Source organism: Homo sapiens, chromosome 3 (assembly GCF_000001405.40).
Source record: "Homo sapiens chromosome 3, GRCh38.p14 Primary Assembly".
NCBI classification, from domain to species: domain Eukaryota; kingdom Metazoa; phylum Chordata; class Mammalia; order Primates; family Hominidae; genus Homo; species Homo sapiens.
Window position 1 is genome coordinate 58,683,225 of NC_000003.12, and position 23,585 is coordinate 58,706,809.

General features: G+C 42.6%; 1 long non-coding RNA gene across 1 annotated transcript in view; it reads left to right on the plus strand.

Moving 5' to 3' along the window:
* LOC105377109 (uncharacterized) overlaps positions 1-22,860 on the plus strand; it is a 41,452-nt gene extending 18,592 nt beyond the window's left edge. Inside the window, exon 3 of the long non-coding RNA XR_940879.3 lies at positions 22,698-22,860. This is a non-coding gene — a long non-coding RNA (uncharacterized LOC105377109). The remainder of the gene's footprint in view (positions 1-22,697) is intronic.
* Positions 22,861-23,585: the final 725 nt, after the last annotated feature.

Below are 23,585 nucleotides of genomic sequence, written 5' to 3' on the forward strand. Positions count from 1 at the left end.
GGCACATAGTAGGTATTCAATAAATTGATGAATGACCAAGTTTACACCCTAGGGAGTATCTGAAATGCTTTGTCTGGGAGCAGAAATGAACCACAAGTGCCACAAGAAGGATGTTACAAAGGGTGGGAAATGATGAATCAAAGAGTGGGCAAGTAATGCGTCTCTGGTTGCTATTTCTGTCCCACTCTTCCCTGGGATCAGCTCATGTCACTGCCTGCATTAGTTATCTATTGCTGCCTAACAAATCACCACACTCTTAATGGTTTAAAACAACACATACTTATTCTCTCACAGCTTCTGTGGGCCAGGAGTCCAGGTGCATCTTAAACAGGCCTTCTGCTTGGTGCCTCACAAGGCTGTGATCAAGGCATTCATTTGGTAGCATTCTCATCTGGAAACTTGACTGGGGAATAATTCACTTTCAAGTTTATTTGTGTTGTGGTGTGACTGAGGCTGTCACGCATTCCTGTGGTTGTGTGACTGAGGCCCTCAGATGTCTGCTGGCTGTTGGCTGGAGGCCGCCCCCAGGTCCTGGAGGCTGTGGCCCTAGTTCCTTGCCATGGAGACTTCCTCAGCAGGGCTTCTTACTTCATCAGGCCAGCAAGAACAATCTCTCCGGGAGGGCGTAGTCTCTCTTCTAAGATTCACTAGATTCACTGGATTCACTAGATTAAGTAGATTAAGTAATTATGATTCACTAGATTAAGTCAGGCCCACTGAGGATAATCTCTCTGTTGAGGAACTCCACATAAACTGATATGGGCCATTAAATCAGCAAAATCCCTTCATGTTTGTTATATTCTATTGGCTAGAAGCAAGTCACAGTTTCCACCCACACTCAGGGGAAGGGATTATACTGGATGTGAACACCAAGTGGCGGAGATCCCTGGAGATCACCTGAGGGTCTTCTGGCCACACTGCTTTGTATCTCTGTCCCCACCCTAACACAGAGTATATGTAGCTTTAGCCCTTGAGTAGAGTCAGCCAGTGACACTGGTGTTCCCTCACTTCAGGACATTTTGCCTTCCCCTTGTTGAGTGGTTGATCTCTATAATTTTGATATTTATCTCATGCTGATGTTGGATGTGTGGGAGGAGCCGAGTGGTTCTCTTAGTGCCAAGATGTCTGGTAAACCCAAGTCCTTTTGTACTTATGGAGCAGGTGCTGAGTGTCCTAAGACATCAAGAGGCCTCAGAGAAAAAGAAGAAATTGCCAAAACAAACATCCCAGGCTTAGAAAAAATTAAAGTCAGAGTGGTAGGTAGACTCCTCCCCTTGTTTTCACCTGGAGTGCCATGGTGATGAGAGGGGGTTTTGGAATGATGCAATACAATGGAAAAGTGGGCTCAATGACTTGAATGGATCTTTGAAATGCACTGCAATATCAGGAAGGCAGGGGATGTCCATCATCTTATTTCCATGGGGGCATCGGGAAGGCCTCCTGGTATCAGTGAAATTGTCCATACTGTGAGTTCAATTTGTTTGCATTTTTTTAATAGCAAAACCCTCCAACCTTAAGGAAGTCCAAATCTGAAAAGCGGGGTCCTGGTATCACTCACAACTACAAAATTGGGGAGTTTGCCGCTTCATCCATTTCCACAGCGAATACTTCTTGATCCACAACTATGTGCCAGGCCCCATGGGAGGTATCAGCAATAGAATAGAAAACAAACTGACCTCCTGGGATTCCCAGTCCAGGAGGAAGCCAACAAAGGACTTATGCAACAAAAGTATTACCCAGTGTGAAAAGAGCTTTGACTAAGACAAAGTTAAAAAAGAAGAATCCCAGCACTTTGGGAGGCCAAGGCGGGTGGGTCACCTGAGGTTGGGAGTTCAAGACCAGCCTGACCAACATGGAGACACTCCGTCTGTATTAAAAATACAAAAAATTAGCTGGGCATGGTGGCATGCGCCTGTAATCCCAGCTACTCAGGAGGCTGAGGTAGGAGAATCCCTGGAACCCAGGAGGCGGAGGTTGGGTTGAGCCGAGATTGCGCCACTACACTCCAGCCTGGGCAACAAGAGCAAACTCCGTCTCAAACAAAAAGAAGAAAAAATAATATAGGGGGTGTTACTTTAGATGGCATAACCTGGGGAAGTGTTTAAGAGAAGAGACATTGAAGTTGAGACCTGAACGATGAGAAGACACCAGCCATTCTAGGAGGAGGGACTCTAGGAGTATGCAAGTCCCAGAGCAGGAGAGTGCTTGGTGTGGTTGGGGCCCCACGAGTGAGGGGAGCAGGACCACATAATGTCGATATATTTGGAACATAAGATGGAGAGCATGTGATGGATTGGAATTGGAAGATGAGAGGAAGGTGAGTATCATGAATGACTCTTAGATTTTCACTTGAGAAATGAGTGGAGCCAGGGACTGAGACCCCGCACATTCCCCCACAACCTTCCTTTGGTGGGAACCCTTGGCACACTGGTATAGCATAATTCACTGGTACACGGGCTCCCCGCTTCTTCCACGAAAAGCCCTGGTTCACAGTGTTTGTTGATTCTGTGCTGTAAATACTATCTCACCACAGCCAGCTTCAAACCGTAAGCCCGTTCTCAAGAATCCTGAAGAGGTAGCAATCAGGTCTTGTGAGCCGGCAGCAGTCAGCCCCAGCAAAACAAACCAACACAGGGTCTCAGCATGTCCTCTCTTGGGAACGATTCACCAGGCGGTGGCTTTGAGGTCCCAGAAAACTCCCTGTCTTCCTTGTCACCTCTCTGCCTCTGTTTCTTCCTGTTTTCCTGCAGTCACCTCAGGTGGCAGCCGCAATGAAAAACGTACCATCTCACTGCTGACTGCTCTCAGGGAGCTGTTGCCTAGGTTTAACGACAATTGTCTAATTACTTCTTAGGAGCCCATTCCAGAAAATGCTGATAGATAAACTAGTGCAATTAACTGGTCTTTGTAAAGCATTTAGCAAAAGTCAGCCTGTCATAGAAGCCTTAATCTAGAGAGCACGTCTAGGGGAACCTGTCGTAAATGAAAAGAAGTGGGGGGGAATTGCCTCCCAGGACTAAGCAGAGAGTCTGCACCACCCAACCCAGTGCACGTGAATTCCCTTGAACAATGCTCCTTTAGACCCTCGGCCTCAATGTGTTCCATGTTAGACTCATCCGCATTTCTCTCAAAACAGTTTCTGTTAGGATTTTCCCATTCCCATGGAGGACACTGTCATTAACCCGGGCTCTCAAGCTCACAACCTGGAGGCAAATGTGACCGAGCCCTCTCTTTTGTCCTCTGCATTCCAATCAGTAGATTTGAGTAGATTCCAAGTTGTGGCATTTCTCACACCTGCTTCTTTATAGTTGTCCTCATCATCATTCTCAGGTCTTGGAGTCTCCAGCATCTGTCACCTGGTCTATCTCCCCATCTAACCATTCTCTGAGACAGAGAAGCCCAGACTCCCTTCCTGGCCTGCAGGGCCGTGGCAGGCATTATCTCTTCTGGCATCATCTCACGCCACTGGCCACTGATGCTCTTGCTCCAGCCAGGAGAGATATCCCCCTCCTCCAAGGTGCTGTGTTCTCTTTCGCTTTTGTATTTTTGTGTTTTCCTGCCAGAAACATGCTTTCCTATTGGATCAGTTAGGATCAGGTAGGTTATCTGGTGGTAACAAATTAACACCCAAATCTCAGTGACTTAACAAGGATGGTTTGTATCTCACTCTTGTGAGGTGCAATGTGGGTCGAGTGGTCCTTCTTCAGGTGGCTACTTCTTCAGCCAAGGTCACTGCGGCAAAGGAAGAAAGGATGGAGGAGGCACCTGGAACTTAATGGGATCAGCCCGGGAGTGGCTCCTGTCTATTGGCCAGAATTGGTCACATGGCCCTATGCTAACTGCAGGGCAGGCTGGGTAATGTAGAGGAGCATGTGGAATGCTGAGTGGGCACTGCTGCTTGGTGCCACATAGTTCTCTTCTTCTGACCCATTCTTTAGGTCTCTGTGAGAACTCACTTCCTCCAGGAAGTCCTCCCAGCCCCCAGCACTGGGTTCAAATTTCCTCCTATGTGCGTTCTATGCACACCCTCACCCTGAATGATCGGGCTGGCTGCTGGTCCTCTGCTCGTCCCGGGGCTTTGTGAAAGCAGGGACTGGGTCTGTCTCCTGCTCGGGGCTGCCTCCCCTCAGTACTCAGCATGGTGCCTGCCATACCGCATGGCCCAGTGAACCCTCCTTGAGTGGATGGCCATTCCCTACCCAGCCTTCAGAGCTCTCTAGAATCTGGACCAGTTCCACTGCTTCTCCCCGCTCCTCTGCATCCAGTTGCTCTGGATTTTAGGCATTTTATGTATAGTACGATGGGAAGTTTTTGGACTTTTGGTGGGGCAGCTCTAAATCTGATTGCCAGTTTCAGTGTTTACTTGTTACAGGGCCCTAGGCAGTTTACTTCATTGCATTGTGCCTCAGTTTCCTCATCTGTCAAATGGATTCCAATAGACCTGTTTAATTGTGCAGGTTCAATAAAAATGCTCTTAAAATGCATTATTATAGAACATGGCAAATATCATACTTCACTGATTCCCAAGTGCATTTTCTTTTTTTCACCTTTTAACATATCTGAAATTGGGATTCATCTTACCATAACTATTAAAAGAGCACTTTGTCATTGTTCAATTAGCAGTTTTTATTTTTTCTCAGTGGGACATAATTGTGTGTCTTATATTCCATGACATATGAATTAATAAGTGATCATTAATTACTATTATTTTGCCTCTGTAAATGACTTCCACCTCCGATAAATGTTAATTGGCAGACACTTCTCCTACCCTTCCAAGCTTTTTGATTGAAATGAATGTGAAAACTCAAGACCAGGATGGCTTCCCCATCACATCTTATAAGGGAATAGGTCTTGTAAGTTTTACCTATGTCTCCTCATCCAAGAGGCCCCCCTGCTCCTGTCTCACTCACTCTTTCTCTCCTTCTTTTGAATTTCTCCCAGTGTGAGCACTAACCAAGGTCTACCTGGGATATTATTAAAAAGTACTTTACTAAAATTAATCTCATCTAATTTTTGAGTGCTGATGATGTGCTGGGCACTATGCTATGCCCTTACTTGTACATCTCATGCAATCTCCACAACTTATGAGAAAAGCATTATTTCTAAGATGGGGAAACTGAGGCACAGAGAGGTTTGGTAACAGATGAAAAGACACACAGCCAGCAAATGAAGGACCTGAGATTAATTGGGCTCTTTATGATGGGAGATCACACTAAGCAGCCTCTGGTATATGTTTTGCTTTGTCTTTGGGGTGTTTATAACACAAGGACAACCACACAGCAGGTGCTCAAAATATCCTTGCTAGTGAATGGAAGAGGCCACTTGGTTAGGCACTTGGGTACTGTTAGCAATGTAAATCCTCAGTTGTCATTCTCCTACTGAATGCCCTATTACATTCCTCTGATCTTTGCCCAGAGAGAAAGAGTCTATTGCTTTATTTACAGCCCCTGCCTTTCCCAAAGCTGTCCTGCTTGAACATTCCCAATGTTATCTTTTGAATAAGTCCCCGCCTACCGCTTGTGTATGATCACATCATATCTCAGCCACTCTGCTCTGTGCAACCCATCCAGTTGTCTCAGAAGCATCTCCATGACAGCAGCTGGTGTTGTTGGAGGTTTGCCCAATAGCACAACAAAGGAAGAGTACACTTTGAGTTCCTGAAAACACTGAAACATACCATTCACTGCCCCCCACCCCAACACGCGCCAGTTGCTGCCTCTGAAAATCAGACTGATGCAGCCCCCAGGGCTGCTGAGAAGGTAAATTTTCTTATCTGTGGCCTCTGGACATGCACATGTGAGTGAGCCATGAGCAGGGAGAGGATGCTTACAGAGCTGGGGGAAATGGTGCCAGATTCTTTCCTTGGGTGGCAAGGGGACTGTGTAGGGGCAAGGGGACTGTGTAGGGGGATTGGTGCATTTAATAAAATGTGGCCTCCAAAGCCAAGTCTAATGGGGGCTCAGATAAAGTCCACTCCACTGCAAGTGGCTTTGGCTTAGTACAGATGATGTCTTGGGGAAGAAGGAAATAGAGGGGATGAGCATTGAAAAATACCTTTGCCGTGAATGGTGGGAGCAAGTTGGTGAAGGTACCAAAGGTGACAGTCCCATGGCTTTAGGTCACATTGGAGCTGAAGCCCTGGATGACCCGTTGCCTGAACATGCTGTGGGACTGAGCCTGTGCCTCCACTGGCCAAATCTCTGGGCCTGAGCAGAGGCAGCACTGTACTCACCTTCTCTTCTGCTAGTCCTTCTTTCCTCACTTGCTTCTTGATCTTCCCTGGCCATTTCTACAGGCAGTTTCTGTAGGGGAAAGGCAGCTGTGGTAGGTCCTTGGAGCAGTTTGTGGGTTTAGCTTTGGCCGAGGCCTCCTGCTCTAGGTTGAGCCTCGTGAGTTCATAATTTAGGGTTCAAGAGGGAATGTGCCTACTACTCTCTAGGTGTTCCTGATTCCCAGAGGTATTCCTGTGGAAGCTGGACAAACTCTGGAAGATACAGAGAGAATTCCTGAGCTGCTGGGGAATTGGGAGAGAATGGAGGGAATGAGATGGACTCTGGGTTCCTGAAAACTCTGATCTTCTATTTATCTGTCTGTCAATCAATCCACACATGGATGGTTTTTCATCAATCTATAGTGGAGATGAGTGTTCCCTGCCTTCCCTTCCTTGCTAGATGTTGCCTTTGACTACTCTGATTTGTCTCCTTTACATTTGATACCATCCCTCTCTCCTATCCAAGGTAGGTTCTGTGGTTACCATTTCAGTTCTCAGAGCTTTTGTCATGTGCAATCTGGCGAAGAGTTAGAGAGATAGCTGGAGAAGAAAGGGAGAAGGACATAGCCAGAAAGGCTGAGTTGAAATCAGATACAAAGGGCTGGAAGTGAGGGTGGAGGTGGGAGGGAGGAAAAAATTCCTTGAGGTCAGGGGTGGAGAAAGTTGGGGAAGTGTGGTCTAGAGAGGCTGCTGCCGGGTGTGAGAAAATTAAGGAGAAGAGCAGAGAGGACTTGAGGGATATTAACTGGCTCCTTTATCATGTTTCCTGAGAAACTCAAGTAAAAATTGGGATTCTTTTAAAGTTTTCTTTTAGAGATTGGACTACACTTATTTGAACATAACTGCAGAAATTGGGCCAGGGAGGCTCCTGAATCTATTAGAGTTATAAAGCATTCATTGTCTCAACCATGCCAGACTGTGCTAGGGACTGAGGGAACAAATAGGACTAAGAGGTAATTTATGTCCTGGAGGAGCTCATGGAATGCAATGATTCTGTCAGGTTGTCATCCTAAGATTGTAATATTTCAGAATTCCATTTTGCGGAAATTCTCAACCCCAACATGTGGACTGAGAAGTATACTTCCAGTACTTGAGTCAGGGGACAGAATGTCTTGGAGAAGGCAGTCTGTGTCTCCTCCTCTTCCTTCTCTTAGGAAGGGCCTGGTCTCTGGGTAGGTCCTAGGACCAAAGTCCAGTTGCCTTTGGGAGGATCCCTATCTGCCAACTCAGAAGATAGCTGTGATCATGCCACTGCATTCCAGCCTGGGTGACAGAGTGAGACCCTGTCTCGAAAAAAAAAAAAAAAGACTCAAGAGAGTATGAGTAAGTTGTATATGCATAAGCCATCTGATTGGGATATTCCCTCAATTGTTATTTCCACTGAACAACAATTCTTATCAAGGTCTGGGGCTTAGTTAAGCTAACAAGCCATTATCCTTCAACAGAGACTTTGAACATTGATCCTAGTCAATGAATCTACATCGCTACAAGATATTCTGCCCCCCAACTCAAGTGCTGGAAGTATACTTCTCAGTCCACATGTTGGGGTTGAGAATTTCAGTAAAATGGAATTCTGAAATATTACAATCTTAGAATGACTCCGAAGATACATTTTCCTGGAACAAAAAGCTCAGTGTGGTAGACCCATCACCCTGGCTCCATTTCTGATCTTTGTCCAGCTGTGTTCTCACTCTTGAGCCCCCTCTCTAGACAAACTTGGGCACCAGAGCAATGCCTGAAATGAGTTGCAGAGTCCAACTGTGGCCTAAATCTCCAAAGAGAGCTATGTAGATTCGTTGACTAGGATAAATGTTCAAAGTCTCCGTTGAAGGGTAATGGCTTGTTAGCTTAACTAAGCCCCAGACTTTGATAAAAAATGTTGTTCAGTGGAAATATCAATTGAGGAAATATCCCAATCAGAAGGCTTATGCATATACAATTTACTCGCACTCTCTTGAGTCTTTTTTTTTTTTTTTTTTTGAGACTGGGTCTCACTCTGTCACCCAGGCTGGAATGCAGTGGCATGATCACAGCTCACTGCAGCCTCAGGCTCCTGGGCTCAGATGATCCCTCCACCTCAGGCTCCTGAGTAGCTAGGACTACCAGCACCCACCACCATGACTGGCTAATTTTTGTATTTCTTGTAAGGACAGATGAGGCAGGAAAATAAGGTCTAGAGGCAGAGAACATAAGGCTGATTCACACTTCAGCTATAACAGAAAATATCCTCTCCATAGGGCATACACCAAGTATATAACTTTGTAATTTTACTTCATACTCTTCATTTACATAGGATGTACCCCAAGTAGAGGGCATTTAAATTCACAAAAACTCTGTAACATGCCTTTTGAGCCCCTATGCTCAGGCCCTCTCCCACATTGTGGAGTGTACTTTCATTTTCAATAAATCCCTTCATTCCTTCCTCTTATTGGCATCTTCTTAGGAGCCTGAAGATGAGGTTTTAATTGCTTTCATTGTTTAAGATTTAGCAGGACATAGTGTCTTTTGTAGACCCAGGGGTCAAAGCCCTGTAACTCAATGTCACAAGGACTTTAAAAACACACAGGAAGATACATGGATATAATAACCTCAATTAACATTTTTTTCTCTCAGTTTGTTTTTTCCTAAGCAAACCAAAACTTAATAATGATATGACAACTTGATAATATAAAAGTTTTTTTTAAAAACAAATCCTCTTAGTGTGACTTACGCTGACCATTTATGACATGCTTGGACTTTGTGGTTTGTCCTGAACATCCCTTCTTCTTAAACAGTCATTTTATTTTAGGACTAAATTTACCATACAAGATTCTTTCTCATATAAAATTATTTCTCTTTAAGCTTTCTAACTACAACAAGTCTCTTTATTTTTATAACTTTGTTTACATCTTTTTTATTTCCTAGTTCCTTTTACCTTGTTTTATACATGACCTTTAAATAAGGTTTGAATTAGACAAAAATTGTTCACCTTTTTTGAGAGGACACACTTTTTTTTAAAAGAATGTTTTCCTATGATTATAGTTTTATTGGAAAATATCTAAATAATGAAATGAAATATCTATTATTTAATTTAACTTTAGATTCTAAATTATGATGAATTTATCTACAAGTATTTATCCTATTCCTTTTACCTAATTATTTTGTTTTAATTGTTTACTAGATTATTTATGAAAACTGCTATAGTCATCATTTAAAGTTATGAAACTGCCATTGCAAAATTTTAACTGAGACAGTAAAAAAGATTTGACCTAACTGACTCCATCTTGCTTTTAATTTCCAAGCTGTCCTTGTTCATTCCTGGGCGTAGGCCAAACTAACTTTGGGATGGATTTAGTTTATAGTTTAGCTTTGAAACAAAGATGATAACAGTCCTTTCCCAAAACAAACCTCCTTACCGCCTGTGGACTATACTGCCTAAAGCCACAGGATTAGAAGTTATGGTAATCTTACTAAATTCAAGATGCAGCTATTTTCATTAAACCAATATCAATGTCTTATTTATTAAAAATTACACAAGCAAAGATCATCCTTTTTTGGGCTGGGTTTATAGTTTTGTAACCCCTATACCAAATTTTGACACCTTATAGTATTTGGCAGGGATAAGTATGGAATTGCTTGATTAATAAATGCAAACAGAAATTTATGCTGGAAATTCTTAAGATATTTCTAATATTACTTTATCAATAATTTTAAAGCTAGATTAGTTATTAAATATTTTACTTAAGTTACATAAACTTGAAAAAGCATTTGACTAGTCTTTTCTTTTTTAGTACCTGATTTAAACACTTTTATTTTTTTAAGCCAATTAATTAGAGCTCTTTTATATATTTTTAGTGGTGAAACATTGTGTACACAACACATAAATACATAGACATATTAGGCATGCTGATAGAAGTACATCTTATAGATTCATAAAAACTTTTTTTTCCTTAGACTTTCAGATTGTTGATAACCTGTTTCACAAGACTGAGCAGTTGCCAGCTAATTTGCATATCAAAGGAAACAACTCAGGTGAAAATCAAATAGCGAAATTTACATTATAAGGTGCAGAGAGAAGAAGTTTGGTGTGTTAGAGGGAGATTAAAACAGACTTAATTGCTAATTAAAGATAACATTGTAGAAATGATAAAGGCCTTTGAAATACACACACACATGCACACGCACACACACACAGAAGATTCTATAGCTTTTACTTTAGAACTTTTAGCCATGAGATAAATACAAATTCACTGGCTTGCAAAAAGAACTTGTTGGATCTAAACAGTGGTTTTTATCTTAATAGAAAAATAGCAGCAGGTTTAGAGCAAGCAGAAAGTAAAAAATAGATTAAAAAAGGACTTAGGAACTCTATAGTTTGCAGATCGACCTTAGGGCTCTTTTTCCTTAACATAAATGTACACAAAGGCCATATTATTTCCATATTATATAAGCTCTGGCAAGTAGAGGCACCATAAAACCTATGGAGTGCTCGAAAGGGAGTCATTCTCCTTGTTTTCTCTTCATTCTTAGATCATTTGTTTCCTACCTTTTTTTTTTATCTTAAAAGGAGGAACTGAGCTGTGGCCTAGGGTTTTTGTGGACGGATCCATGTGTGCTGCTGGTGGGCAGGACTCCACAGTGTGTCACCACTGAGTGGTTTCCACCCTCTTAAGTGTCTTGTTTCTCTCTCCAGAGGTCTATGACCTCAGTCAGAGAGGACTCAAAACACTGGGTGATCAGCTCTTATATGTGTTTCCTGGACAAGCCATTTTAAAAATTAATTTTTGTTGGGGATTTTCCTGCAGGGCAGCTGCACATTGTAGGGGGTCAATCCTCCAGGCACTCCCAGAGGCCTTCAGTCACCTAGGGCACTTTTCGGCTGAGGGGAGCAAATGCCCTTTCTCTTAAGAGCTGAGAAAACTCAGTCACTCATTAACGTATGAAAACAACAGTTCAGTTCCTCATGCAAATATGCACAGACAAACCAAATTAAGATTAATTTGGGAGAAAAAGCAATAGAGAAGACTCTTTAGAATGCATCTCCGAACTAGAATTAGGATCCTAAAACAACAACTTCCTACAAGAGAAAAATAAAAAAACCAGCCAAGATCACTTCCTGTAAACTGTACTCAGCTACCCGTTACTTTGTAGCTCTCGTGTGACATTATACATGCCAAGGTCAAATCCTCTCACAGTGCAAAGTCATTTCTGGAACCCCAAAGCCAAAAAAGTCAGGTCATGCAATACAGGAAAACAGCTTTAGACCTAAAAGAAATATGCCCTTGACTCTTGAAACTCCCCAAAGAGAACAGAACACCCCAAAAGCAGGTGAGTGGTGCCTTTGTTCTGAATTCTTTAAAAGGGGTTCAAGTCATTAGACTCCTTCTCTAAATTTTTTGGTACTGCAGATGGCAAAAGGGGAAAGGAGATATAGGGTGGAAGGAAAATAAATGAAAGATTTTTTTTTTTTTTAAGGCAGGAAGCAAACACAGAGCCCAAACACATGGCTTTTTTTTTCTTTTGCAGCTGTGAGGAATTTTAGCAAAATTAGAGAGGCCCTGTTTCCCATAATTTGGAATTCTCACTTGGATTTGACCAACTCAGGTAGAGTTGGTCAAATCTGATGGGAGAAAGACCAGAACAAACAACACCCCCAACAATATGATCACTGAGTGCTCTAATGGCAAGGAGAAATTAAGTCCAGCTGGTTGTTAATCTCAACTTAACCAAGACAAACTCCAATTCAGTTACTAAGACCCAGGGATGGATCTTAGGCTGAAGACTTCTGTCTACCATCCTAGAAGCAGGAAAAAAAAGCTCGTCTTCCCTGTCAGAAGTGAGCTCAAATCAAACTCCATAAAGGAGTTACCTGCCTTCCACCATCATGGAAGCAGAAAAACTTGCCTTCCTTGTGTTGGAAGCAAGTAAAACTCCAAAAAAAGAGGAGTTGTACAGCAAAATAAACTTTAGATCTTGACCAAATTTTGAGAGATCAGGGATTCCCTGAAGGGGGTGCTCTCAGACCTCAGCAAATTGTCCTATTGGTTTCAGCCATAACGTTAGCTCATGCTCGTACCAAGCACCACAGGAAATTTGTCAAAGGTCAGGAGCATCTCCACTCAGAATGCCCCCGTGGTTACCAAATGTGAACCCCCAAAATTTGAGACAGGTCTCAGTTAACTTAGGTTTATTTTGCCAAGGTTGAGGACGAGTGCCCATAACACAGCTTTAGGAAGTCCTGAGGACATGTGCCCAAGGTGGTCGGGGCACAGCTTGATTTTATACACTTTAGGGAAACATGAGACATCAATGAATACATATAAGAAGTACATTGGTTCTGTCCAGAAAGGGGAGGACACCTTGAAGCAAGGAGGGGGCTTCCAAGTCACAGGTAGGTGAGAGACAAATGGTTGCATTCTTTTGAGTTTCTGATAAGCCTTTTCAAGGGAGGAGATCAGACTATGCATCTGTCTCAGTGAGCAGAAGGATGACTTTAAATAGAATGGCAGGCAAGTTTGCCCTGAGCAGTTCCCAGCTTGACTTTTCCCTTTAGCTTAGTAATTTTGGGGCCCCAAGATTTTCCTTTTACACCTACCTGTGCCCACACTCACAAAACACCAAAAACAAATGTTTGCAAGGATGCTTTTCATAGAGCTGGACGGTTTTAAGGTTATAGAAAATGATTGCCAAATACATTTCTGTCCTAGTTTCCTTATGCCAAGCCTGTGTTTTATTGCTGGGTGTACTTTCTTCACACACAGTCCACCTTTATCAGGAGTAGGAGTTATCCAGGTTTTCACAAGGGCTTAGCTTTCTGCACTGGGTGCCAGTGCACACCTTTGTTTATGGAGCTGAAGCAGAACTAGACAGGAGGGAATCAGAGATGTTTGGACAAGAGGAGGGTTTCATTGTGGCTGTTTTTTAAAAGGTTGAATGCTTCCTGAGGGATGGGAGGCTTCAAAGGCTTGGTGTTCTGGTAAAAGCAGTGGGGGAAACTCCCTTTCTATGGCCTGCAGAGGAAATGCCAATGCACTCAGTTGCTCCTGTCATCTCTCTCCCTCCCTCTGCCCCTCACCATTGCAGGGACCCCCACACTGGGTCCAAGGTCCCTGATGCACTCATTTTATTGTATATTTTGGGGTCTGATCACCACTGATTTCTCCTCTCCAGCTAGGAAAATCCTAGATGGTGTCTTCTTCCAATAGAAGGCTGTTTCATCTACATTGAAAATCTGTTGTTCGATTTAGCCACCTTTGTCAGAGGCATGTGAACCAGAGAAACTCCATCTTAAGCAGGAGCTGGGAAAAATGAGGCTGAAACCTACTGGGCCTTATTCCCAGATGGTTAGGGCATTCTAAGTCACAGGATGAGATAGGAGGTCAGCACAAAAAACAGGTCATAAAGAGCTTGTTGATAAAACAGGTTGCAGAAAAGAAGCTGAGCAAAGCCAAAATGGCCACAAGAGTGACCTCTGGTCATCCTCAGTGCTACACTCCCACCAGTGCCATGACAGTTTACAAATGCCATGGCAACGACAGGAAATTACCCTATATGGTCTAAAAAGTGGGGGGAATGAATAATCCACCCCTTGTTTAGCATATCATCAAGAAATAACCATAAAAATGGGCAACCAGCAACTCTCGGGGCTGCTCTGTCTATGGAGTAGCCATTCTTTTATTGCTTTAGTTTCTTAATAAACTTGCTTTCACTTTGCACTGCAGACTCGCCCTGAATTATTTCTTGCATGAGATCTAAGAACCCTTTCTTGGGGTCTGGATTGGGACCCCTTTCCTATAACATATTTCTTTGTTCTGTAACACCTTCTTCAATGATCTCAGCTGGATCTTCTAGATAACTGGCAGCTTCTTCATCAGCACTTGCTGCTTCACTGTGTATTTTTATGTTATGGAGACAGCTTCTCTCCTTAAACCTCATGAATCAAACTTTGCTATATTCCAACTTTTCTTCTGCAGTTTTCTCACTTGTCTCAGCCTTCATAGAACTGAAGAGAGTTAGGGCCTTGCTCTGGATTAGGCTTTGGCTTAGGGAATGTTTTGCATCCTGATCTTCTATCCAGATCCCTCAAACTTTCTCCTTATCAGCAATAAAGCTGTTTTGCTATCTTATCATTCATGTTCACTGGAGTAGCACTTTCAATTTCCTTCAAGAACTTTTACTTTGCATCTACCACTTGACTACCACTTGGCCCAAGAGGCCTAGCTTTTGGCCTGTCTTGGCTTTTGATATGACTTTCTCACTAAGTTTAATCATTTCTAGCTTTTGGTAAAAGGTGAGAGATGTGCAACTCTTTCTTTCACTTTAACACTGAGAGTCCATGGTAGGGTTATGAATTGGCCTCATGTCAATATTGTTGTGTCTCAGGGAATAGGGAGGCCTGAGGAGAGGGAGAGAGATGGGTGAATGACTGGTTGGTGACACAGTCAGGACACACACATTTATTAAGTTTGCCATCTTACATATGCTCAGTTTGTGGTGCCCCAAAACAATTACAATAGTAACGTCAAAGATTGCGGATCACAGATCACCATAACAAGAATGTTAAATATTGAGAGAATTACCAGAATGAGACACAGAGACGCAAAGTGAATACTTGCATTGGGAAAATGGCGCTGACAGACTTGCTTGCCACAGAATCTTGAATTTGTAAAAAACACAATATCTGTGAAGTGCAATAAAAGCAAAGTGCGAAAAAATGAGGTATGCCTGTATGGCTCAGCAATAAAAAGAAATAAACTGTGGCTACGTGCAACAACTTGGATGGACTTCAAGAATATTATGCTGAGAGAAAAAAACATTCTCAAAAGGTTATGCATACTTATATTTATGTAACACTCTACAAATGATAATAATATAGGAATGGAGTGCTTGGCAGGTTAGGAGTTGGGGAGGCTGTGACTATAAAGGGAGAGGAGGAGGCAGTTTCTTTGTGGTGATGGAGCCCTTCTGTATCCTGATTGTGGTGGTGATTGCATACATCTGCACATGTGATAACATTTCATAATTCTATACACAGAAAGCTGTGTCAAAACTGATGGAACCCAAGTAAGAGTTCAGTAAATAGTGTACCATTGTGATTTTTTGTTTTTTTTGAGGCAGGGTCTCACTCTGTTGCCCAGGCTGGAGTATAGTGGCATGAACATGGCTTACTGCAGCCTCAATCTCCCAGGTTCAAATGATCCTCCCACCTCAGCCTCCTGAGTGGCTGGGACTACAGGCACACACCACCATGCCTGACTAATTTTTTATTTTTTTTGTAGAGACAGGTTCTCACTATGTTGCCCAGGCTGGTCTCAAACTCCTGGATGCAAGTGATCCTCCTGCCTTGGCCTCCCGAAGTGCTGGGATTACAGGCCTGAGCCACCATGCCTGGCCCACCATTGTGAATTTTTTGATAATGTACTGTGGTTATGTTAAATTTCATTATTAGAAAAAGCTGTGTGAAGGGTAGATGAGAACTCTTTGTACTGTTTTTATAATTTCTTGTATTAAAACTTTTTTTCAAAATAAACAGCAAAAAAACAAACAAATAAAACTCCAAAACAAAACAAAACAAAACACACCTCCCGCCCGCCCAGTCTTCTCACTCTGCAGCTTGAGCTCTGTCTCCTTTGCGTGATGCTGCTTGTGTCATGCTGCATTGTTTGCCATCATAAAACCAGAACTAAAAAGGAGAAGAAACCAACATTTTGGCAAAAACAGTGTTTCTCAAAGGGTGTCTGTTAAACACTGATTCAGTAGGATTTGTTAGGGAGGAATAAATATTCTGTGTCCAAGCACACTCAGGAAATCCTGGGTTAAACAGTTTTCTTTACTGAAAGACTTAGGATATGAATGTATGCTACGGATCTCTAAGGGGAGGCTAAAGAATACGGCAACTCCTTAGGTTTTTGTCCATAGACTCTTTTGTTTTCTCTTCTGAGTATCCCAAGAGACTAGAGATCCATGTGCTTGGGAAACGCTGAGCTAACGCATTCATCGGAGAAGAGAAAAGCAAGGAGCTGTGGATCAGTTTCACTCTGGAGTTGGGTGTTGAGCTTCAGGCCCTGGCTCTGCCTAGCCTTTTGCAACGTACTTAGTGTAATAACTTACAGGAGACAACTGGAAAGAAAGAGGTCAATCTTCATGGTGCAAAAGGTTTGATTTTCATTTTTTAAATTCTCCACTTTGAGCAGTGACTTTGGAGAGAGTTCTTCTTCCTCCTCTGCTCTATCTTTAGGGTTGGAGGCCCCGTTCCTCATCTGACAGTGGGCCTGGATGGATGGAGAATAATTGACAATCCACACTGGGAGGTAAGCAGGAGATGATGGGCGTTTGGGGACACAGGTGGAGGGTCGTGAAGAAGCAGGTCCAGGAGGAACATTCTCTGATGACTACAGGGTTGGCCAGCCATGCAGTGAACTCTAAGTTTCTAAGACATTCGCTCATGAGGAGTGAAACCTGGGGTTGGAGGAGATGATCTGAGTAGACTGAAGAAGTCACCCCAAATATTATCATTATGTGGGCTTTTTATGGTTATAACATTTCTAGTGCATTAGTTACCTGTTTTTGCATAACAAATTACCTCCAAACTTAGTGGTTTAAAACAGCAATACATTTTGTTATCTCACAGTTTCTCTTGGTCAGGAATTTGGGAGGGATTTAACTGAGTGGTTCTGGGTTCTGGTCTCTCATGAAGCTGCAGTCTTCTGGAGATTTGTTTGGGGCTGGAGGATCTGATTCCAAGATGTTGCACCCACGTGGATTGCACATTCATGTTGGCTGTTAGCAAAAAATCCCTCAGTTCCTCACCATGTGGACCTCAGATAAATCTGCTTGAGTGTTCTCACAACATGGCAGCTGGCTTCTTCCAGAGCAAGTGATCCAAGACAGAAAGAGCAAAGTGGAAGCTGCCATGTCTTTTGTGATGTAGTCTTAGAAGTCACACTTCATCATTTCTGCAATATCCTAACGGTTATACATAGATTAGCCCTATTCATCCCTATTGAATGTGGGGTGGGGGCTATATATATAATGGCATAAATTTCAGAATGAAAGAATCATTGGGAGCCATCTTGAAAGTCTACTACTACAAGTAACCTATAAGAGAAAGAAATTATTGAATGAACATCTTTAAGTGGGGTGATATGCATTCTTAAATGGTTAAAAGCATGACAATTTTTTAAAGACTATACTACCATTTTTTTTCCAAAAGCAGGAGCAAAATGCTAGGGTCTCAATTTGCCCTTTCTTTCAACAAATATTTGTTGAGCACCTATGTTGTGCCACCAGTTTGCTTAGGATCTTTGCACTGGGAGCCCTGCTAGAGAAACATATTGCAGGTGCACAGTCAGAAACCAGATAGACAAGACCAGGAAGAAGTACTGCCTTGATTCATAACCAGACCTGAATATTTGTCATTCATCCTAGTAATAAGTAGGAGCCTCAAGTAATTGCACTGGCCTGAACAGCACTTCCAGCCTTTGTTTGTTGGTTGGATAATGACTTCATTTCATGTGCTCTAGTAAACCGATTGACTGTCCTCTCCCACCTCTCTCTCTGATCATAATTCTTTCTGTGCCCATTTCATTCAGAGACGTGTGCCCTCCAAACCACACTCCCCACATTTATCAAAGCTAAATAGCTTCCTGATGCCTTCCCCCATATTTCTAAAAGCAAGCTCCTCTTACCTTACACAGAGAGACTAAGTTGAACAGGAAACTTAATTAATACACAATTTATCTTTTCCTTCAGGTTATTTATTTCTCAGTCAAAACTCTTGGTTGCCTGCAAGAAACGGATGCTGGCCCTGTTAAGCATAAGGGAATTTATTGGAAGGACACGAGAGTTCTCAGCATTGATAGGTAGCTTGAAAACCAAGCTTAGGAAAGAGATGAGAACCAAGGGCTTTTTCTGGTGCCAGGCACCAGTGTGCCACTGCGGCCACTGTGATAAGGCACCTTCAATTGATCCTCTTGTCCTTGCTTCACACCTACAATATTCAAAGTTTTGGGAAATAACATCCAATTGGCTTGGCCAAGGCTCTGGGTTTCATAGGTGGGAAGTAGCAAGACCTGACTCATTTTGTTGTCAACAACAACAAGAAAAGGAGGGAAGGAAGGAAGGAAGGAAGAGAAAGAGAAAGAGAAAGAAAAAGGGCAAATGTTTTTACACATTTACTAAATGGCTCTTGTTGATTTGTTTCCAAGCCATTCAAACTGAACCTTTCCGTTACCCAAGGAAGAGTCAATTACTTCATACTCCTCAGGATCCACCCAAAGCTTGTATTTTCCATAAACAAGCTCCCCAAATTGGCAAACACTCACAAGAAGTGCTTTAATTGGATATTCTGTTAATTTACCAATAATCATCTTTGAATGCCATTTATTACAGAAAATTAGATGAATTTAGCACGAACAGAAAAATATTGATTGCCACCCTCTGAATTTTTAATATGAGTGTTTGATTTATAAATTAATCCTTCATTTTGTTAATTAGAGCAAAGAGGCAGTCTCCAAACCCGGGCTATGGTGCTGAGCATTATTGTAACTTTCATCAGCAATTTTAGTTAAGAATGATTTATTAAAATGAATTTCTTGTCTGGTTCAGGTTTTGTGTCTTGCTGTAGCAAGCAGCCTCATGCTTGCCAGGTTTGTGGTTATGTTTTTATAACTCTTTCTTCAGTCCTTCATTCTCAACCTACCTGCCCATTTTGGTTGGCTTTATTCCAAGCATTTTTCCAGAGGGTTAACCTGGTTGACCTCTACTTTGCCCCAGGATCCTGTAACATCTTTCAGAAGAGTGTTGGGTTTTAAATGACTCAAAGGGCCTCCGATTGTCCAAATGTCTATCCCCAAAACCTAGACCCCGCTTGGTAAGTAGCAGAAGTGCAGGTAATTACTGGATTGACATGCACTCACCTGCACACCTTTTAAACTTCACAGGAACTAGACCCAGTCCACAGCCCAAGCACGTTAATTGGATTGGGCTGCACTACGCCTCTTGCCAGTGATCATTTTAGGCATTACCATGTGTCACCATTCTGGGCAGTAAGAAATCAGGAGAAGCTGCTAAGGTAGGGGGCAAGAGGAGACACTTCTGTAAAAAATTTAACTTGCTGAGAAAAAGAAACTGAAGGAAGAAATAGTCCATTTATCTACCCCATACACACATTGTTTTTTTTTATAAAAATGGTTGTCAATGATTGAAAGAGTGAGAAAGTGAACAGACCCTGTCTTAGTTTGTTTGGGTTTCTATAGCAAAGTACCATAACTGGGGAGCTTATGAGCAACAGAAAATTATTTCTCACAGTTCTGGAGGCTGGAAAAGTCCAAGATCAAGAGGCCAGCAGATTCAGTGTCTGGTGAGAGACCATATTCTGGTTCATAGATGGCACCTTCTTGCTGTGTCCTCACACGGCGGAAGAGATAAGAGGTCTTTCTTGGGCCTCTTTTGTAAGGGCTCTAATCCCATTCTTGAGGGCTCTGCCCTAATGACCTAATTATTTCCCAAAGCCCCCCCATCCCATTCCCCCAGCCTTGGGGTTTAGAATTTCAACCTATGAATTTTGGAAAAACACAAACATTCAGACCATAGCAAATGCTTTCAGTTTTTCAAGGATCTTCCACCATAAGTATCCTGCTTCATTTTTAAAATCACCCTGAGAAATGGAGAAAATATAGTCTGGTTGATTCACACTCAGGTCCTGGAGTTAAACAGAATCCTGTCTTTGCCATTAGCTAGCTGCGGTGATGTGAAACAAGTTAATTTACCTCTCTGATCCTCTGTTTCTTTATCAATAAAATAAGAACAATAAGATTCCCTATTTCATGGAGCTTACTTTGTGGTTGCCCTGTGAAGAGGGCAGGATCAACGACCCCCAACCCCGAATTGGTTCAAATATTGAAATTGATGATGTCACAAGTGCACCAAAAGTGGAGGAAAATATTTTTTACTCAGTTCATGAGTCTTTTTGGGAGGGTTTGGGAGGCACCCAAGTTGGTCTGAAAATGGCTCAAAGTGGCAGTGCCTTTGGTTTTTATTGTGGTTAGAAGATGGGGCTGGGATTTGAGTTCCTACAATCACACACAGCTTGACTTTTGCACAGCTTGACTTTTCCCACTGGTGCCAAGGGAGGGAGTATTTGGGCTTTCTTATCAGCTTGCCCAGACTTGGGGCAAAGGGAACGGGAATGGTGGAAGCTTGAAAACTGTCAGCAGTCAAACATAAAAAATGACATCTATGATAGAGTTGTTATGAGAAAATATCTGCCTAAAGCACTGAGCTCAGTGCAGTGTTACAGTAAGTGGTTAATAAACAAATTATTAATGTCATGATTGATTTAATCATTTTCAGAAGCTTTTGCATCTATGACCTCATTTCCTCTGCATATTAACCCAAGAAATTGAGAGATCTGATCAGAAGTAGATCTGGTAAAATTAAAGCACTCAATGAGTGGTTGCTTCTGGCATCACTATCACCATTCCCATCATCACCATCATCATCAACTTTGTCATTATCACCATCACAATCATCACCACCACCACCACCATCATCACCAGCTTCATCATCAGCATCATCATAAGAATCAGATCATCACCACGATTACTTTTGCCACAATCATCATGAGCATCACCAACACCATGATTGCTATCACTACCACCAGTGTCCCATTGTTGTTACCATCATGATCATCATTATCACCATTGCCTTCATCACAATCTCCACCACCAGCATCATCACTAATATAAGATTTCTTTTAGATTATCCACCTTTTTGTGTAAAAAGTAAAGTAGAGGTTTCTCTTTTCTTCCCTGTCTAATTAGGTATAAATAGTAACTTCTCTTAGAAGCAAAATTTATTCAAAGACCTGTGCTAACATTCTTAGATATCTGCTAGCCATAATAAAGAAATCAATGTGCTTTGTGTTCTTAGCTCCCACAATTTAGCCTAAATATTTGCCCTGGCATGCTTATGCTGGTCCAAACAAGCATTAGGTCATAGCCTGTTCCTCTTCCTTATTTGGAGGGTTTTCACCTTTCCCAGCATTCCATAAGTTACTTCCTCCTTCCTTTGTTCTCCTCTGCCTTTGCCTCTTTAGAAAGTTCTAAGCTGCTAGCCAATCAGGACAAATACAGAATGTGAGGTTCCATTCCAGCCAATGGAAACCGGACACAGCAGTAGGGTGGACGTGTCAGGTTATAAATATCCATTTATATTTATATATATATGCTGGCCCACCAGCATCCATTCCTGCAGCAATTAGCTAAGACTGGAGGGTGGGCCATGTTCCCTTCAGGCCACCTTGCCCATTCATCATGGACTGAAAGAAAACTTCCTTTGAAAAGGGGTTGGGGGAGTTTCCCTGGAGGTGTTCAGGCAAGAAGGAAATGACCGTTAGAGGAAAAGATGGGCCTCTCTACTGTTGTTAATGGCTAAATAAATACACTGAAGTTGGCTCACAGCTGCAGTAACCACACCACCTGAGGAACCTGTTGGCCACAATGGAGGCTCTGTCATATGTGTAATGCCTAGACACCCACATAGATAAGTCCCAAAAACGTGTTGCAATGAAAAAGAACACAGCCAACACCATCAAAAGTGCTTTCACAAATAACTCAGCTCCTTTATTTGTATGATTTTGAGTACTTTGATGATGACACTCTTCACTGATATTCTTGAAATCCTGTTTTATAAACCTGTGCCATTCACTCTCTCATGACCCAGTTCTCTACATCTACCTCTCTCCACACACACAAAACCAAAGCCTCCTTCAGCCTCCTCCCTGACTGCCTCCTGTTATCTTGCCTCCCTTTTCTTCTTCATTCTCTCATCATGAAAGCCAGAGAACCCATCTGGCTGGGCCAGGCACTTCTCAGAGGGTGGAGTCAGGAAATGGGTTGCGATGGTTAATTTTATGTGTTAAGTTGGATGGGTCACAGTGCCCAGATAATTGTTCAAACATTATTCTGGATGTTTCTGTGATGGTGTCTTTTTGGATTAGATTTACATTTAAATCGGTGGATCTTAAGTAAAGCAGATTACGCTCCCTAATGTGGATGGGCCTCTGGGCCTCATTTAGTCATTTGAAGGCTGTATGGAACAAAGACTGATTTCCCCTGCCCAAAAAGGATTCTGCCAGCAGACTGCCTTGGGTCTCACTGCAACTCTTCCCTGGACCTCCAGTCTGTGGTCTATCCTGGAGATTTTAGGCTTACCAGGCCTCCATAATAATGTAAGCCAGTTTCTGAAATTAAATCTCTCCCTCTATACACACATCCTGCTGCTTCTGCTTTTCTGGAGAGCCCTGACTAATTCATGGCCCAAGCCTGAATTCTCTTTTCTGGGCAGGGGACGAGGAAAGTCTGGTAATACATCTACAGTTAATTTTAATGACATCACAGGTAGAAAGATTCTGGAAACTGACTTTTTTTTTTTTTCCCCTCTGCAGGTGCAGATCATATTTTCTGCTTAGAGCAGATTCCTTCCTGGGCAGACATTGAGCACACAGCCAGCTGCAGTGGGCACCAGAGACATTGCGTCCTTTCTACTCTTCATGTCCTGATCCCAGTGATAATCTTTGAGGCCCCAGTCGGTGGTTCTTTTTTTTTTTTTTTTTTTGAGATGGAGTTTTGCTCTTTTGCCCAGGCTGGAGTGCAGTGGTGCGATCTCAGCTCACTGCAACCTCCACCCACCAGGTTTAAGTGATTCTCCTGCCTCAGCCTCCCGAGTACCTGGGATTATAGGCATCTGCCAGCATGTGCAGCTAATTTTTGTATTTTTGGTAGAGACAGGGTTTTGCCATGTTGGCCAGGCTGGTCTCAAACTCCTGGCCTCAGGTGATCCACCTGCCTCGGCCTCCCAAAGTGCTAGGATTACAGGCATGAGCCACCATGCCTGGCCCAGTAAGTGGTTTTTAATGAGGGTGATTTTGCCCCCTTTGGGTACATTTGGAATGTCTGGAGACATTTTTGATGATCATGCCTGGGAGGTGGATAGTGTTACCGGCATCTAGTGAGCAGAGGCCAGGGATGCTGCTATATATCCTAGTATAGGTACAAGCCCACTGCCACTCCCTAATGAAGAATTATCTAGCTCAAAATGTCAAAGGCACTTGAACCAGAGTGACTCCATCTTGAATAGGGACTCAGTAAAATGAGGCTGAGACCTGCTGGGCTGTATCCTCAGGAGGTTATGCATTTGTAGTCACAGGATGATAGGAGGTCACAAGATACAGGTCACAAAGATTCCACTGATAAAACAGGATGCAATAAAGAAGTCTGCCAAAATTTGCTAAAACCAAGATGGCAGCAAAAGTGATCTCTAGTCATTCTCACTG